The 18900-nt window shown below is 45.2% G+C and overlaps 1 protein-coding gene across 32 annotated transcripts in view, besides 2 other annotated features; it reads right to left on the reverse strand.

The window, feature by feature from the left end:
- PLEKHA7 (pleckstrin homology domain containing A7) overlaps positions 1-18900 on the reverse strand; it is a 237118-nt gene that overhangs the window by 114061 nt on the left and 104157 nt on the right. The window lies entirely within an intron of this gene.
- Positions 232-4841: an enhancer, noted in NCBI's record as "VISTA enhancer hs2096". NCBI's record gives its function as "enhancer in: other[4/7]" and the evidence as "EXISTENCE:transgenic organism evidence [ECO:0001131][PMID:17130149]".
- Positions 5977-6662: an enhancer, noted in NCBI's record as "OCT4-NANOG hESC enhancer chr11:16918881-16919566 (GRCh37/hg19 assembly coordinates)". NCBI's record gives its function as "activates a minimal SCP1, AML or CMV promoter by ChIP-STARR-seq in naive H9 embryonic stem cells {active_cell/tissue: H9 hESC(naive)}" and the evidence as "EXISTENCE:reporter gene assay evidence [ECO:0000049][PMID:30033119]".

An 18900-nucleotide genomic window follows, 5' to 3' on the forward strand; every position in this document is an offset into this window, starting at 1 on the left:
ATGCCTCTATAGGCCAGGAATGCCAAGAATTGCTGGCAGCCATCAGAAGCAAAGAGAGGTATGGAATGGAACCAACTCTGTAAACACTTTGATTTTCGACTTCTTGTCTCTGGAAATGTAAGAGAATACATTTCTGTTGTTTTATACTACTGTTGTGGTAATTTGTTATAGCAGCCACAGCAAGTGAATACAGAATCTGTATTAGTTTAGTGGCTTTGATTTACTACAAATCCAATTAGTCAACAGCATGGAAAAGCTATCACAAGGGCCACTAGGACCTTGGGACTCACTTAATAATAGTATAGAGTCCAAAACAAGGGGGTAAAATGTTATTCAATTTTAAACTGATCAGACTCCACCCAATTATGTGTTCACTTCTAGGAATCATACCTGCAGGCCAGAGGAGAAAGCTGGAGGAAGTCCAGGAGAGACAGACCAGGGCTGTGAAGGGCTAAGTGGGTTAACACCACCACATCACTGAAGCAACTGGAGTTTTCAGGTTTCAAAAAACTCAGGGGACACAACTGCTGTCTTCATCACTAAAGGATTATCAAGACGGGAAGTAATCTAATTTGTTCCCTGAGGTTCAACATGATTGAACTAGGATCAGTGGGTGGAGTCACTGGGAGGCATATTTTTCAAGGAACTGAGTGTCAACAATGTCACAGAGTCTCTGAACATCACACTGGCCAACTGCCTTCCATTGGTGGAAGTTTTCAAGCCTGGGCCAAATAAATCATCTGGCAAGGATGTTGGTAATGGAAGAATGCAAACCCCAAGCATGCAATCTGCCAAGATGACCTTATGCTCCTCACGAGCTCTGTGAATCTATGAATCCATAAAATGCATCATTTGACAACTATGTGAGTCAAGAGATATCTGAAACATGTGGGTAGGATATGGAGATCCTGAGCATGAAGAAATATGTATGGTGGGAAAAGAGCACCAAGGCCCAGTACAGAGCAATGGCTAAAAACTTATAGCCAACTCCCAGAAGCCTAGCAGCAAGAGTAGGTGGTCACAGCCATGCAGGAGAGGTTGTTTTATTTTGTGTGTGTGTGTGTGTGTGTGTGTGTGTTTTGTTTTGTTTTGTTTTGTTTTGTTTTGAGATAAAGTATCACTCTGTCACCCAGGATGGAGTGCAGTAGTACAGTCTCAGCTCACTGTAACCTCTACCCTACTGGCTCAAGTGATCCTCCCACCTCAGCCTCCAAAGTAGCTGGGACCACAGGTGCGTGCCACCATGCCCAGCTTCCAGCTTCTTTTTTTTTTTTTTTTTTTTTTCGTATTTTTAGTAGAGACAGGATTTCACCATATTGCCCAGGCTAGTCTCAAACTCCTGAGCTCACGCAATCCACCTGCCTCAGCCTCTCAAAGTGCTGGAATTACATGCATGAGCCACTGTGCCCAGCCAGGAATCTTAACATTGAAATTGACAATATCTATGTTGAACTTTGTTTTATTTATTTAATAAACAACATCCATTTACTTCTGACAGTTCTGGAGGCTGAGATGTCCAAGATCAAGACGCCAGCACGTTCATTATCTGGTGAGGGCCCATGCCTTACAGATGGCACCTTCCTGCTGCATCCTCACATAGTGGAAGGTGTAAACAAGTTCCCTAGGGCCCCTTTTATAGGGACACTAATCCCATTCATGAGGGCTCGACCCTTCAAGCTTTCTCTTGTAGCTCTTATCGTCCAATATGGCCAGTATCCCCTAACAAACCACTTGTGAGTAACTGCTTGTAATATTTGCATGTATTATCTCTAACGGTTATGTCAACACTACAAGGTATTATCATCTTAACTCAGGGAACTCAGGCATAGGATAGGTTAAATCATTTGTCCAAGACCACACATTTCAAAAGAGTTTAGGATTCCCATTGGAATCCAAGTATAGAAGCCAAACTGTTCTCCTGCATCACGGTATTTCCTCTGTACCCTACTGTGGGCATTTAGTTTGTTCAAGGTAAACAATAATACCAAGCAAGTGGGAAGGAAACGGGTGGCTTTCCCTTTCTGGGCCTCATTTACCTCATCTATAAAATGGGAAAAGATGGGAGATGATGAACACAGGGAGCTCTTACAGCTCTGACACCCTGGTGCTGCCCTGCAACTAAATGTTACTGGATTCCTTTTCTCTCAGTGTCACCTCCACACTGTTGGGGCTGAGAAAGTAGTGACAGAGAAGGCTGTAATTCTCTAGTACCCGCCCCCCCACAAGGAAGACACAGCTGGTAACTTTTCCCATTGCCTTGAGGTCAGAGCAGTAACAGAAGGAGAAAACCAAGAACAGGCAAAAAGTCTGCTGTATGAGCTCATTTGCAGGTGTGCAGCATGGAATGACCCACATAAATCCTGACATGTAGCGCTTACTCTTACTCCGTAAACCAGGACTGTGCTGTAAAGTATCAGCACACAGATCTGAGGGCCAGCAGTGCCCAAAGCCCAAGGGATGTCCATGAGGAGTTAAAGCACAGTGTCTTTGTTTGGAAAAGATTAAGTTATCCATGGAGTGTGAAAGAAAAAGTAGCCCGGCCACATTCCAGAGGCTCCAGTAAAGCAGCCTCTTGCAGATGCTTCCAGTGTTGATGCTGTACTGAATCAGGTTAGGAAGCATCCTTCAGCCCACCCTGCTGGGGACCTCTGGCTAGGCAAAGCCTCCTCTTTCCAACTGCCCCTTCTACTGGTCCTCTAGCAATGGAATACCAGAGTCTAGGGACTCCAGAGGCCCAACAGCTCAGGAGGGGGAGGTTGCCAAGGTCCTGTGAGACTTCGTTCCTCCCCTGCCCATCATCACTCCATGACCCAGAGAAGGGGGACCATCCCAGCATCAGGGGTTGGGGGACAGACTGGACATCTAATCAGGGAGGGGCTCTCACTATCTCACTTCTAGGAAAGGGCAAAATGGGATGATTTCGGAAATTCTCCACCCAAACCAGTTTCCTCTTCAATTTCCTAATGATGCCCATTCAGGAAGGGAGTCCCAGTTAGAGGAACAGAGCAGGAAGAAGGCTCCTGACCCACAGGATCCCACGTACCTGGAGTTTCCAGTGAGCACACCACTGTGCCCAAATGGAATATCCCAGCAGATGTTTCTGGTTTTATTCTTTCTTTTTCTTTTTGGTTTTGCAGGATGCAAGGCAAGATGGCAGGGTGAGCAGGAGAGAGGTATCAAATAGTCAGTGGAAAGAGTGTGGCTTTGGAGCCTGAACTAGGTTCCAATCATAGCTCCACACTCGTAGTGTAAGCTTTGTAAAATATCTCCTAAATAGTGCCCAAAATGAAGAAGGTGAATGGTAAGGGTACATGTTCTTGTTGGGGCCCCTTCTCCCCACAGAAAACCTACTGACTCCCCATAACCCTAACAGAGAGCCCGCCATCCCAGTGCACGAGACTTCTCCTGCAGATATCCAAAACTGGGGGCAGGGGAGGGGAGTAGATAAAGAACCACACAAGGTAAAAGAGAGAGATCCATAATGATAACTTCAGTGAGCATATTATATACAAATCACATCATAACATATTACACTCCAGGCACTCTGCAGGCATTATCTCATATCGTATTACCATCCTAGGAGGTAGTTATTATTATTTCCATTTTACAGATGAAGAAACTGAGGATCAGAAAAATTAAGGGATTTATATAAGTTTACACAGCTAGTAGGAACAGAGCCAGGATTCAAATCCAGGCTTTTTGACTCCAGAGGTGGAGTCAAAGGTTGAACTATTCCCCATGAAGACAACACGGCCAAACCGATTCCTTACATTTCTAAGGCAAGAAGAAAACTCCAGTACAGGGTAAGGGTTTAATATAAGAAGCTATCTTATTAGGGGCCTCCATCCTCTGAAAATAAATCACTGGCCCTCCTCATTTGTGTCTAGAAGTCCCAGCAATCAGGCATGGACACTGACTGGCTGGAAACCTGCAGGTTAGAACCCCGAACTTGCTACTGACCTTTAACCCAGAATAACTCCTACCTCTGAAGAAGGTAACATAAAGAAATGGGAGCACAAAGCATCCTCGACTGCACCATCCACCTCTTCAGAGCACTTCCTCCTTTGGCAACAGCTGCACATCACTGACTCTGAATCACACATTTATACTGCGCCTTTCCAGATCCAGACTCAGTTCCCTAGTGTCAAACTGTGTCAGCAGGGAGGGATGCAGACAGCAGAGAGAGAGCTCAGTGAATCACTTTTCTCTGCTAGTGATGGTTTCTGATGCATGTTAAACACCTCCCTGCAATTCCTCAAGTGTCTATTAATCAGTGAACCAAGAACACAGAGGGCACCAAGGAACAATCTGCCATTGCAGGGAAAAAAGCAAATTGTATCAGGCCTCGTTACTAATGCACAAAGACTTCTAAATCCAAGAGGAGGTGGTGATAGTAACAGCCTAGTCATTGAGACACTTGGTCCCACTGGCCACAAAGTGGACAATAAACAAACCCTCACCTGAAAGGGGCAAAATCTACTTCTCCTTAGCCTCATGTGGACACTGGCTGAGCCAAGAAGAGAATCTGCCAAAATTGATTAAGAGAGAAACTTGTAAAAATTTGCTCTTGACAAGCGTCAGTCTCTTCTCCCCTATAAAACAGCCCTAGAATACCATCAGTTCTCCCCAGCTCAGAAGACTAAACAGGATACACGATGGTCCCCAAGGTTCTGGTGCCCACTTGCCTTTTCAGGCTAAATATCTTCCCCAGGAAAGCTCCTGCCCTGCCATGGTTATGACCCTAAAGCTGTCTCTCTGAGTTCCGTCCACTCTCTAGAGTCCCAGATCCCTATATCCAACTGTCTATTAGACACTTCTTCCAAGATGTCCTCTAGGCACCATTAAATCAACATATTCCAAAGTGGAACCCTTTGCCATCTTCCTAAACTGTTTCTATTCTTTTATTCCCCATCTTGGTGAAGGTCACCAAGGAGCACTTGGAAGAATGGCTGTGACATTTCTGTCATCACAACAACTTGGGGAGGGGGCGTCTGAAGGGCAAGGAGCCCAGAGTGCTAAACACCACCATCCCGCACAATGAAAAGCTGTCCCTCCCCAAATGCCAAGAATCATAGCACCTAGAAATGCTGGAAGGCATCCTACCTTTTCCCCTCACTCCCCATCAGTCAGCAAGACTAGTTAACTCTACTTCCTATATCCCCAACCTGGCCCATCCTCTCCATCCCCACAGCCACTCAGTAGAATGGCTGCAACAGTCCCTAAGCCCATCATCCTATCTCTGCACCCACCCACCCACATATTCCCAATTCTCTTTCTACGATCCTCCAGACAGTTGCCTGTAAATAGCTCTAAATCTATAAACTGTGCCATTTCCAGCCTTAAAATCATCCAGTAGTTCCCATTACCTTCTGGAAAAAGGATAAACTTCTTAAACCTGTTCCCTGCCTCATGGCTCACCACCCCCACATGGATACCCAGGCTCCAGGGGTGTCTCAGTATCTTTGCACACACTGTTCCCTTTTCTTGAGGACCATGTCCTTATCTCTCTGGCTTTTGTCCTTTAGAAGCCTTCCACGATATGAGGCTGAGGTAAGAGCTTGTTTGTGCACACACGGAGAGAACTTTTACTGCCTCATTGTGGTTGTTGTGCTTACCCTGCTTCTCTGTTGGCTCTGATTCTCCATCACAGAGCCTAGTATACAGTATTGGCTTAATGAACAGCCAGTGGATTAGAATGTACAACATATATATAACGCCCTGACAGTTGCCAAAGTCTCATGCAATGCAATGACCTGGAGAGGTAGTACTGACACTATTACCATTTAACAGAAGAGGTTAAGTCTTTCGCCCAAGTTAAAAAAAATAGTTAGCTAAGGGTAGAGCCAAGAAGTGAACCAGGTTCTTTTACAGCAAATTCTTTGTTCTTTGTCGTAATACCACTCTACACAAAAGGCTACAGAACAGACATCCAGGTGGGGGCGAGAGACGTCATCATCTTGTCTCCTTCAGACTGAGCTCCAAGAAACCCATCACATTACCCAGCTGCACAGCCCCATTCCTCCCCATTTTTCCTTCCTATACCTCAATCATATAGTGCAGAAACCCCAAAGCCAGCAAAAGAGCCTACTCTTACTGTCAGAAACAGCTGCACTCTGCCAGCCTGTAACATGATGGCTCCAGTGTGCTGGCTGGGAGCAGGGGACTGGTGGTAAGTGGCAGCTTTTAGAGATGCCATGCATTAAGTACACAAGGCTTTAAATGGGCCACCCGCAGAGAAGGTGTATTAGGCAGTGAGGGGGAGGAGGCCTGCAAGCTATCCCGCTGTGCCACGTGAAAGGCTGGTAGTTCCTAATTACTTTCTGAGAGTTTTCATGAACACCTCACATATGCCATTTTGCTTCAGGAACACAAAGCAATTAGAAATAAGGTTTCAGACTTTATGACTCTAACTAGCTGCAGCGGAGAGCATTTGCCTGCACACACACATTTGGCTCAAATGTGAATGTAAAAGGCGATTAAGGAAATGTGCAGTTCGGTGCTGCAAGCCTCTCAGGGGACAAGGAAAATGACAAACGCTCATTTCAGGGCTCTGGGTGGCAATCACTACCCACTTCCACAGTGTCATTCAGATATCACCATGACAACCACCAAAAGGCTTCCTTCCTCTATGGCAAAGACAATAGAAATTTTAATTAAGGCCATTCCTTTTTTTTTCTGACTGATGGAAGAAAAACATCCACAAAACGTTACCCAGAAATACATGACCAGGAACACTTTCAGAATTCAAAAATATTTTTGCTGCTTTCCATGAAGTCACATGATCCATCCCGGCATCCCCAAAGCCCACATTCTCCCACTCTTTCAACAACTCGAATTTTTATAGATCTCATAAATTCAGATCTGTCTGGATCTTTTATCAAACATTATGAAACTAGGGAAACATTCCAATTCAATTTTCTGACTATGATTGAGAACAGGATTTTAGTCATTTTTCTTTCAGTCATAAAATTCAAAAGGTCTGGTATATTTTCATAAAGTATTTTCAATAAACTGAGACAGCCCAAGATTAGATTTGAGTGTTCAGTGGCCTTTGGAAAGGAGCAGATCTGGACTTGAATACCTGCTTTGTAATCCTGTGTGACTTTGAGTTAGTTACTTAACCTCTCTGAGATTTAGTTTCCTTATCTGGAGGACAGAAGTAATAGTGCCTACTTTGGAGCATTTCAAGAAGAAGCAAGGCTGAATGTAACAAGTTAGCACTCTGCCCAGTCCATAGTGAGCTACTAATAATAGCAGCAAGTATTATTATTCTTCCTTATTTTGCCCTGAAAGAATTAAGAAGGCCTTGTCCACACTTCCTAGGAAGTGTTTCTGGCATGTGTTGGCTCCTCTACCTTCTCACAGTCCTAAATCCTGGCCTTTATCATCTCTCACGTGGACTAGTCCAACACCCTCCTAACTGGCCTCCTTGCTTCTAGACTTTGTTCCCCCTAGTTCACTGTCCTCAGATCACCCAACTGCTCCTCTAAAATCCAAACCTATGCTGATCACTCTGCTCTGCATGAACCTCTGATACTCTGATAGGACTTTCATGGGGAAAACTATGGCTTCACTGAAAAACATTTTTAAAGGCCTAAATGAGAGCTATAAAACACCAATTTTGTAAAGATGCCAATTCTTCCCTAAATTAATCTATATATTCAATGTGAAACCAATCAAGATCTCATAGGGTTTTTTGCGAATCTTTGCAAACGGATCTTAAAATCTAAATGGAAAAGCAAAAGGACAAGTATAGCCAAGAGCTCTTGGATGGTGTTTTCTAGAGTAAACAATATTTTGATTCAATGGGTTTTACTCTGGGGAAATGTGTTCAATATAGACAAAACTTTTGCATATGGCTGGGCGCGGTGGCTCACGCCTGTAATCCCAACACTTTGGGAGGCTGAGGCAGGCGGATCACCTGAGGTCGGGAGTTTGAGACCAGCCTGACCTACATGGAGAAACCCCCGTCTCTACTAAAAATACAAAATTAGCCGGGCGTGGTGGCACATGCTTGTAATCCCAGCTACTAGGGAGGCTGAGGAAGGAGAATCGCTTGAACCTGGGAGGCGGAGGTTGTGGTGAGCTGAGATCACGCCATTGCACTCCAGCGCTGGGCAAAAAGAGCGAAACTCCATCTCAAAACAAAACTTTTGCATAAAGGAGAAAATATGTTAATAAAAATACTAACAGGTGACTTCTAATTATGAGTGGAGAAAACTGGGTAATTTTCTCTGCCAACTCAGTGTAGGAATGAGGCCTGGGAAAGGGAAAGCAAACAAGAAAAGCAGACTGGGAAAGAGGTAATGATCTTTACTGAAGGCCCGCTATGTCTCAGGCACTGTGCTATGTACTTCCCATATGATTTTCATTTAATATTCATCACAAGCAAGTATAGTAGATAGCATTATTTCCATTATAGGGCAGGAAAACCTTTAGAAGGATAAGTGATTTGCTGAAAGGCAAAGATCCCTTATAAGTGGTAAGGGCATGAACTGAACTTTGCTCTTTGAGCTTTATACCATACTTGTGAGCTGTTCTTGGCCTGCTCTTACTGGTCCCAGGTGTCAGCAGGGAGCCCAGGTGCTAGGGGTAGGCAGGGAAGTGTCAGTGAGCTCACCTGGATAAGGTGTGGGGGGCAGGCACTTGGTGGTGCTGCTCCTCATCTCTCTCCCCTTTAGCTGGGAGGGTGCCTAAACCTTACTTGCAGACAAACACAAATGCACATAGTTAATGGGAAGGCCTTTAAGCCCCAGAGCATGTCACTGTCCAGCCAGAGAAATCCAGGTCACACTCCAAGTTGCTAACCTAATGTGTAATGGGAAAATAACTCTACACATTTAAGGCTCTCACAGGCTGTAAATCCTCAGCTTTACTCTGATTGCATGGCAGCAAATTCTGCTCTCAAACATACAGTTGGAACTCAATAAATTTCACTTCACTGATCCATAAATCTTGTTTAAAAAAATATATGCATGGTTCAGTCTGTCCTTAGCTCAGGTGGAAAGGAAGACACTAGAGTGAATTTTCATTCTGTTAATGCCTTGTAACTTTCATGAGGTGTTTTACTAGGTTACAAGTAGACTATGAAATTCTGGCATAAGCAATTATACTTGGACAATAAAATGGAACAAATGACCTACAGCATAGACACCCCATTATATTTCTTCCTTTTGCATTTATTCAACTTGACATAAGCACTCATCACTGCCTTCCAGATCTTTTCCCTTTAAATAAAATTGTACACAAAATTGTATACAACATTGTGATCATTAACAACTGGGTGGTCCTTGAACAAACTCAAAGGGCAAGAAAGAAATGAGAGGATGAAAGGGAGGAGGCTTTGAGGAATGGCTCAATTCCAACATCAGTTCAGTTCATGGACAAACACTCATGAGATCTCTCACTTTTTTCCCCCAAAAAATCTTTTTTCTAGGACAGAAAATCTCTAACTACCTCAAGTGGCATAACATGTGGAAGTCATGATTTTTTATTTTTTTTTTTTTTTGAGACAGAGTCTCACTGTCACCCAGGCTGGAGTGCAGTGGCGCGATCTCAGCTCATTGTAACCTCCACCTCCCAGGTTCAAATGATTCTCCTGCTCAGCCTCCCTAGTAGCTGGGATTATAGGCGCCCGCCACCACAGCCAGCTAATTTTTTTATTTTTAGTAGAGACAGGGTTTCACCCCATGTTGGCCAGGCTGGTCTCGAACTCCTGACCTCAGGTGATCCGCCTGCCTCGACCTCCCGAAGTGCTGGGATTACAGGCATGAGCCACTGCACCCAGCCATGATGTTCTTTTTGTATGACCCAATGGGATACATATTTTATGAAACATTTTTGGTTCCCTACTTATAAAAAATAATATATACTCCTTAGAGAAAAATGGAAAAAAGCTGTCTAGGAAAGCAGAGAGCTGAAGAAAAAATAAATCAGCTCTAGGCTCACCAGCCAGACAATAGGCTGAGAGCTCAATATTTAATTTTGTGCTAAATTAAATCCATTTTTTCACTTTACTATAGTGAAGACAAACTAATATAAGCCAAAAGTTTGAGAAAACTGCATGGGGGTTTATCCTTTCTCCTCTAAATTCCACCACTAGCAACTCATTTATTTAGGTAAGCATTATCCTTCCCAATATGTCTTTTCTCTTTTTTCGGGGGTGGGAAGGAACAGCTTTATTGAGATAGAATTCACATGTCAAACAATTCACTTAAAGTGTACAGTGTAGCTGGGCATGGTGGCTCACGCCTGTAATCCCAGCATTTTGGGAGGCCAAGGCCGGAAGATAGCTTGAGCTCATGAGTTCAAGCCCAGCCTGGACAACATAGCAAAACCCCATCTCTACAAAAAATACAAAAAAATTAGCTGGGTATGGTGGTGCACGCCTATAGTCTCAGCTACTCAAGAGGCTGAGGTGGGAGGATGGTTTGACCCAGGAGGTGGAGGTTGCAGTGAGTGGAAATCACACAGTGCACTCCGGCCTAGGCAGAAGAGCCAGACCTTGTCTCAAAATATAATAAAAATAAAGTATACAATGCAATGGCTTTTAGTATACTGAGAGTTATACGATCATCACCCCAATCAAATTTAAAACATTTCATTGCCCTAAATGGAAGTCCCATACTCTCTAGCGATCACCCCAGCTCCAGCCCTAGGCAGCCATAAATCCACTTTCTATCTCTCTGGATTTCCCTATTCTGGACATTCCATATAAATAGGCTTAGACACTAGGTCATCTTTTGTGACTGGCATCTTTCATTTAGCATAATGTTTACAAGGTTCATTGTTGCGTTCTTGTTGTAGCATGTACCAGTACTTCATTCCTTCCTATGGCCAGATAATATTCCATTATATAGACACACCACATTTTATTTATCCACCCATCAGTTGACGGACTTTGGGTTTTCACTTTGAGGATATTATGAATCATGTAGCTATGAATTGCGTACAAGTTTTTGTGTAGGTGGACATGGTTTCACTTCTCTTGGGTATATACCTAGGAATGGAATTCATGACTCATATGGTAACTTTACGTTTAACCTTTTGAGAACGTGCAGCTGGCTTCCAAGGTGGCTCCACCATTTTACACTTCTACCAGCAGTGCATCAGTGTTCCCACTTCTCTACGCCCTCACCAGCACTTCTAAAGTATCTGTCCTTTTTAATATAAACATCCTAGGGTGTGTAAAGTAGTATTTCATTACGGTTTTGTTTTGCATTTCCTTGATGGCTAATGATGCTGAGCATCTTTTCATTTGCTTATTGGTCATTTGTGTATCTTCTTTGGCCCAGCTTGTCTTTTAAACTGCAAGTACCTCTGGACAGAGACACTCCCTGAATTCAAATGTTACTTATTAGCTGAATTATCCTAGGCAAGTCATTTAACTTTTATTAGCTTCAGGTTCCTTCTCTGCAATGTAGAGATAATATTAACTACCCAACAGATGTGAGGATTGAAATAACACAGGTAAAGGACTTAGCAGACAGCTGGGCACACAATAAACAGTCAGCAAGTGACAGTTATTATTAACAACACCCTTATTCACACTTTACAATCCATAAATGCTTTGAAACAGCTCTTCCCATAAGGAGAGAGCCTAAGATCTGGGACAGAGAAGTTGGGAGCAAAGGGCAAGGGGAGCTCAAAAGAGTTGAATTAAAAGGAAAATGAAAACAATTACTTATGGGCCATTTTCACAGTCTTGTTTTAGTTATCATTGCCAAAGGTCAGCCTAGAGCCTACTCCTGCACCCTTCCAATCATGATGTAAACACCTAGTTCACTGTATTAAATCCATTTCTGTTTAGAAAAGCGAGAATAACTTCTCACTACTGCTACTGAACCCTGACTGAACAGGAAGGAAGGAAGGTCTTAGTCACAGCTCTATAATTACAGCCATGCACACGGCCTGGCATATAACATTAGGTGATCAGTAGCTGAAGTGAACCAAATGGAATCAATGAGTACATTAATGAATGGAATGAATAAATGGGCAAACAGAGCATGTTTGGGATGTTTGCTCAGTTAGGTGAATGAGGATCCCCTCATCCAGAGGGTCCCAGGGAAGGCTGAGATCAGTTCCCAGGACTGGCAGCCAAGGTTCTCATTGACCATCCATAACCCATCACCATTGCACAGACGCCTACATTAGAATATCTTTCATTTTTTTGTTGCCAACACTCAGGGATTATGGATTGTAGAGAATGCTGTTTTCCTGTATTTCTTAAAGTCATGAGAAGGTGAAAAGGCCTCCACTGTGCTTCTTGGCATATAAATAACTCACAGCATAAAGAAAGGGGAGTCAATGGTTCCAAATTCAAAATAAAGATAGGCTCTTCTCACAACGTCCAAATTACAGAGTCCTCCAGGCAGAAATAGAGACATCTTTCAAAGAAATTCTATTTGCCCATTCAATTCCAAAAGACATAATCAAACTAAGAAAACTCTTCCATGCCTTCCACAAATTGATTTAGTTTCAGCAGCCACCTGGGGCAGCACACAGTCAGACAGCAAACAGGCCTTTCAGTTTTTGTCCTTCTTGCCATGTTCTCTTCCTTCAGAGACTGGAAAAGGATCGCTGCAACTTCATTCTTCAACATGGTACAAAGATACAGCCTGCTCTACATTCCTGCTGTACAATTCTGCAAATCACTATCTTTCCCTCAGATCTTTCACAGCCAAAATTGTAGAACCCTCTCAAAAACCTTCAAGCTATCAGAGTATGACAGGTTTCGATTTTGCAGTCCATTTTGGGCTCCCTCTTGACAGGCCTTCATTGGCTTAAAACATTTGTTATTCTTACGTGCTATCATTTATTGAAATCATTTACAGAACATTCCTTCACACATGTCACCTCATTCTCCATGCACAAGCAACATCTGAGTGCCTGCTCTGTACCCATCCATTGGGAATATAGCTCCTCTAAGCTCCAAACAGATTTTTTTCAGGGTCAGTACTTCCAAAGACTATTTCTGAAGTTGTCCATCACAGCATTATTTTTACAGTCAAAAACTGGAAACTATGAAGTAATGGTTGAGCAAAATAAGGTGTTTATACTTGATGAAACATTGTACAGCCATTAAACATAAAGTTTATAAAGAATCTAAGCTTAACAGATCTTTGTGTTAAATGAAAACCAAGCAGCAACCACATCATATATAAAATATAATCTCAATTATCTTTACAAAATGCAAGGAATGAATATTGGATAAAAATAAGCCAAAATGTTAATTCTAAGATTATGCATATCTCTTCTGCATATTTCTCTGAATATTACTGCTTATTTGTGGAAAATTTAGAAAATAAAAGCATACATAATAAAAATTAACTGTAATATGCCACCACTGTTACTAATTTGGTATTTTGCTATCCATTATTTAAGAATAAAAATTCATAAATATACTTTGCATATATTGCTTTCAAATTTTAAAACTTCAAAATGGGGAAGAATAAGAAATGTTTAGACATAAAAAGATAACGCAATGTTAACTGAAAAAGTCAAAATCATATATATGACTAAAAGCATGTTATGTAAAAAGACTTCTCACTACTTTGTACCCTGTCAAATCCATGCCATATCATGTACACCTATTTAAAATAAATAAAAGACAGGGCTGGACACAGTGACTCACGCCTGTAATCTCAGCACTTTGGAAGGCCAAAGTGGCAGATTACTTGAGCTCAGGAGTTTGAGACTAGCCTGGGCAACATGGCAAAACCCCATCTGTACCAAAAATACAAAAATTAGCTGGGTGTGGTGGCACACACCCATGGTCCCAGCTACTTGGGAGGCTGAGGTGGGAGGATATCTGGAGCCTGGGAAATCGAGGGTGCAGTAAGCCATGGTCATGCCACTGCACTCCAACCTGGGTGTCAGAGCAGGAAGATCCTGTCTCAAATTTTAAAAATAAATTAATTAAAATAAAATAAATGTTATTTCCCCACTCTTCTATAAAATCCAGAAGATACATTAAGGTGAAGTGAATATGGCTGTTTTTCCCCTTTGTCTATTATCCCATTTTTTTATGTAATGCAGTTATATGACCTTCATAGTATAAAAGAATTTTTTTTTAATTCTATACTTTCCTCAAGGTCATGATAACCCAAACTGTATATCAGGCAATTTCTCTTTAAGCAAGCTGAGCCCACAGCCCCTCTCCAAGCTGACTTCTTTGCAGCAGAGCCCCAGGGAAGAGCAAAATGAGGCCCTCTGGGGTGGAGCCACAGAACCTCAGCCACACACAGTGCCATGGTATTGCTAGAAGGTGAAAAGCTGGGTAAGAAGGCCTCAGAAATGACTGGAGAGGGAGATCAGTTTGTTTTTCAACTGTCTCTGTATTTCATTCCCTTAAGCATTCTTCCCCAAAGCTCCCACTCCACCATCCCCTGGAATGGGGGTAATGGATTAGGCGCTGAGTAATCATTAGTCTCACGACCCCATCTGAACTCAAAGCTACAAACACTTTCAATATGAAGTGTTTAATTTATTTAAGACAGGAATCACCTCCACTTTACAGCTGAGGAAGATGAGGCTCTAGAAGGTTAAGTCCAATCAGCCAAAACTCAGGCCTTAGTCTCTGAAGGCTGTGCTTTCCTTGATAGCAGCCCTCTAGGGCCCTGGAGTGAGGGACAGCTCTTCTCATTCAGGCTCTCGGCACTGCTGAGGGCAGGTGACAGCCTAACCAGCTGTCACACATCAGGACAGCCCTAGAAGTTCCAGCTGGCCATCTGACAAATAGCAGGACTGTTGTGGGCTGAACTGTGTTCCCTTCAAAATTAATATTCAAAGTCCTAATCCCAGAACTTCAAAATGTAACTGTGTTTGGAGATTAGATCCTTAAAGAGGTGATCAAGTTAAAATGAGGTAGGAAGGAAGGAAGGAAGGAAGGAAGGAAGGAAGGAAGGAAGGAAGGAAGGAAGGAAAGAAAGAAAATTGGAAAGGCTCCTCCTCTCCCTCTCCCTCCTCTCACTCTCCCTCTCCCTCTCTTTCCACGGTCTCCCCCTGATGCCGAGCCAAAGCTGGACTGTACTGCTGCCATCTCGGCTCACTGCAACCTCCCTGCCTGATTCTCCTGCCTCAGCCTGCCGAGTGCCTGCGATTGCAGGCACGCGCCGCCATGCCTGACTGGTTTTCGTATTTTTTTGGTGGAGACGGGGTTTCGCTGTGTTGGCCAGGCTGGTCTCCAGCTCCTAACCGCGAGTGATCTGCCAGCCTCGGCCTCCCGAGGTGCCGGGATGGCAGACGGAGTCGCGTTCACTCACTCAGTGTTCAGTGGTGCCCAGGCTGGAGTGCAGTGGCGTGATCTCGGCTCGCTACAACCTCCACCTCCCAGCTGCCTGCCTTGGCCCCCCAAAGTGCCGAGATTGCAGCCTCTGCCCGGCCGCCACCCCGTCTGGGAAGTGAGGAGCGTCTCTGCCTGGCCGCCCATCGTCTGGGATGTGAGGAGCCTCTCTGCCTGGCTGCCCAGTCTGGAAAGTGAGGAGCATCTCTGCCCGGCCGCCATCCCATCTAGGAAGTGAGGAGCGTCTCTGCCACGCCGCCCATCGTCTGAGATGTGGGGAGCGCCTCTGCCCTGCCGCCCCGTCTGGGATGTGAGGAGCGTCTCTGCCCGGCCGCCCTGTCTGAGAAGTGAGGAGACCCTCTGCCTGGCAACCGCCCCGTCTGAGAAGTGAGGAGCCCCTCTGCCCGGCAGCCACTCCGTCTGGGAAGCGAGGAGCGTCTCCGCCCGGCAGCCACCCTGTCTGGGAGGGAGGTGGGGGTCAGCCCCCCGCCCGGCCAGCCGCCCCGTCCGGAAGGGAGGTGGGGGGGTTAGCCCCCCGCCCGGCCAGCCGCCCCATCCGGGAGGGAGGTGGGGGGGTCATCCCCCCACCTGGCCAGCCGCCCCGTCCGGGAAGGATGTGGGGGGGTCAGCCCCCCGCCCGGCCAGCCGCCCCATCCGGGAGGTGAGGGGCGCCTCTGCCCGGCCGCCCCTACTGGGAAGAGAGGAGCCCCTCTGCCCGGCCAGCCGCCCCATCCGGGAGGGAGGTGGTGGGGTCAGCCCCCCGCCCGGCCAGCCGCCCCGTCCGGGAGGTGAGGGGCGCCTCTGCCTGGCCGCCCCTACTGGGAAGTAAGGAGCCCCTCTGCCCGGCCAGCCGCCCCGTCCGGGAGGGAGGCGGGGAGGTCAGCCCCCCGCCCAGCCAGCCGCCCCGTCCGGGAGGGAGGCGGGGGGGTCAGCCCCCCGCCCGGCCAGCCGCCCCGTCCGGGAGGTGAGGGGCGCCTCTGCCTGGCCGCCCCTACTGGGAAGTAAGGAGCCCCTCTGCCCGGCCAGCCGCCCCGTCCGGGAGGTGAGGGGCGCCTCTGCCCGGCCGCCCCTACTGGGAAGTGAGGAGCCCCTCTGCCCGGCCACCACCCCGTCTGGGAGGTGTACTCAACAGCTCATTGAGAACGGGCCATGATGACAATGGCGGTTTTGTGGAATAGAAAGGGGGGAAAGGTGGGGAAAAGATTGAGAAATCGGATGGTTGCCATGTCTGTGTAGAAAGAGGTAGACATGGGAGACTTTTCATTTTGTTCTGTACTAAGAAAAATTCTTCTGCCTTGGGATCCTGTTGATCTGTGACCTTACCCCCAACCCTGTGCTCTCTGAAACATGTGCTGTGTCCACTCAGGGTTAAATGGATTAAGGGTGGTGCAAGATGTGCTTTGTTAAACAGATGCTTGAAGGCAGCATGCTCGTTAAGAGTCATCACCACTCCCTAATCTCAAGTACCCAGGGACACAAACACTGCAGAGGGCCGCAGGGTCCTCTGCCTAGGAAAACCAGAGACCTTTGTTCACTTATCTGCTGACCTTCCCTCCACTACTGTCCTGTGACCCTGCCAAATCCCCCTCTGCGAGAAACACCCAAGAATGATCAATAAAAAAAAAAAAAAGAAAATTGGAAAAAAAAAAAAGTTAAAATGAGGTATTTAGAGTGGATCCTCATCCAATATGACTGGTGTTCTCATAAGAGGGGGAAATTGGACACAGAGATGACTATGTGAGGATACAGTGAGAAGGTGGCAGCCTTCAAGCCAAAGAGAGAAGTCTCAGAAGGAACCAAACCTGCCGACCCCTTGATCTCAGGTTTCGAGCTCCCAGACTGAGAAAATAATTTTTTTTTCTTTTTTTTTTTCAAGACAGAGTCTTGCTCTGTAGCCCAGGCTGGAGTGCAGTGGCGCAAACTCGGCTCACTGAAACCTCTGCTTCTGGGGTTCAAGCGATTCTCCTGCCTCAGCCTCCCAAGTAGCTGGGATTACAGGCATGTGCCACCATGCCCAGGTAATTTTTGTATTTTTAGTAGAGATGGTGTTTCACCACGTTGGCCAGAATGGTCTCAAACTCCTGACCTCAGGTGATCCACCCGGCTCAGCCTCCCGAAGTGCTGGGATTACAGGCATGAGCCACCGCGCCCAGCCAAGAAAATAAACTTCTATCATTAATGCTACCCAGCCTGTGTTATTTTGTAACGCCAGCCCTAGCAGACTAACACAGGGACATCAAATGCTTCAAATTTGGCTGGAGAAGAGGAGCAGGCAGGTGGGGTTTACGGTAATCACCTCCACAGAAATCAGTACAACAGAGCTGGAACAAGCCAATTTAGGCTTCATAAATTGGAGGGATTTGAATCTCAGTTCTCCCCCCTACTCTGTGACCTTAACCTGTTTCCTCATTTACAAAATGGAGAAAATTACAGTACCATCTTTGTAGAGTTTCTGGGTGGATTAAATGATACATGCATTGTGCTGAACACTTCACATGCACTGACGTACAGTAAGTACTCAGCAGCCAAGTATTAATAACACTAATAATTAATATTAGTAGTGATATAGGAGCACATCCTAGCGGGAGAAAATGTGTGACCAAGAGGTGGTGTTTGAGGTTACTGAGGAACAAAACAAGCTTCAGTTTCTCAGTCTTTCTATGTTCACACAGAAACAGGAGCCTCTTAATGTTCATTGCCTTTCCCCTCAAGATATTCCAAAAATCAGTGACAACCACATCTTGTACTATGTGTATTCTGGTAAAATTCTATCCATAAATTACTGAGCAGAAAGAGACAGTTTCACAGGGCCTGCATGGCAACATCTGAAGGAAAACAGAAGGCAGCGGTAGTACCCTAGATACAGAGTAGGGCCTGCTCCCCACCACACTCTCCAAGGCAGCAGCCTAGACAGGTGCAAATACTGTGCTGAGAGCCTGAGCTCCTGGAGAGCCTGGGCCACACTCTCACTCTGCCCCTGTGACACCTCAGTCATGCTCCCTCTCTGGGCTCAGTTTCCTCCTCTGCAAACTGAAGCACTGCACTAGCTGAGCTTGGCTGTGCCAAAGAGCCCAAAGACCTTGATACTTAAGTTCATCTGCATCTTTTTGCAGCCTGATGCTTGCTTCACTGCCCACATTCAGGCCTCATGTATGAATTAACCATGCTCCTCTCTGGGTGCTGGCAATGAGGGAAAATAAAGTGTCATGGTTTCACTTTTTATAATAGATCTGACAGCCCTTCGGAAACCTCACCATAAAAAGAAACCAGCTGTTGCCAGAGGTAATAACCTAATGGCCAATCTTGCAGAGACAATGACCCTAAAGAGATACGGCAATGGCCACCAAGAAGAGGTAGATCAAATTTAAAGTGGGAGAGGGGAAGATTAACTTTATGGGAAGATGACAAGGATAATATACTTGGCCAAATACAAGTCTAGAATTGCTGTGCTGAGTTCTGCACTTTTAAATTTGAGAAAATCTCAAGTGCTAGTAATTAGACCTGAATTTTATCAGCACCAATTAATATATGAGTAATGTTTTATAAACACTTCCACATCCAAGGTGTCACTTAATTCTCATTCACAACAAACATTTCTTTCTATCATAATCAGATAA

This window comes from Homo sapiens, chromosome 11, assembly GCF_000001405.40.
Source record: "Homo sapiens chromosome 11, GRCh38.p14 Primary Assembly".
Lineage (NCBI taxonomy): Eukaryota > Metazoa > Chordata > Mammalia > Primates > Hominidae > Homo > Homo sapiens.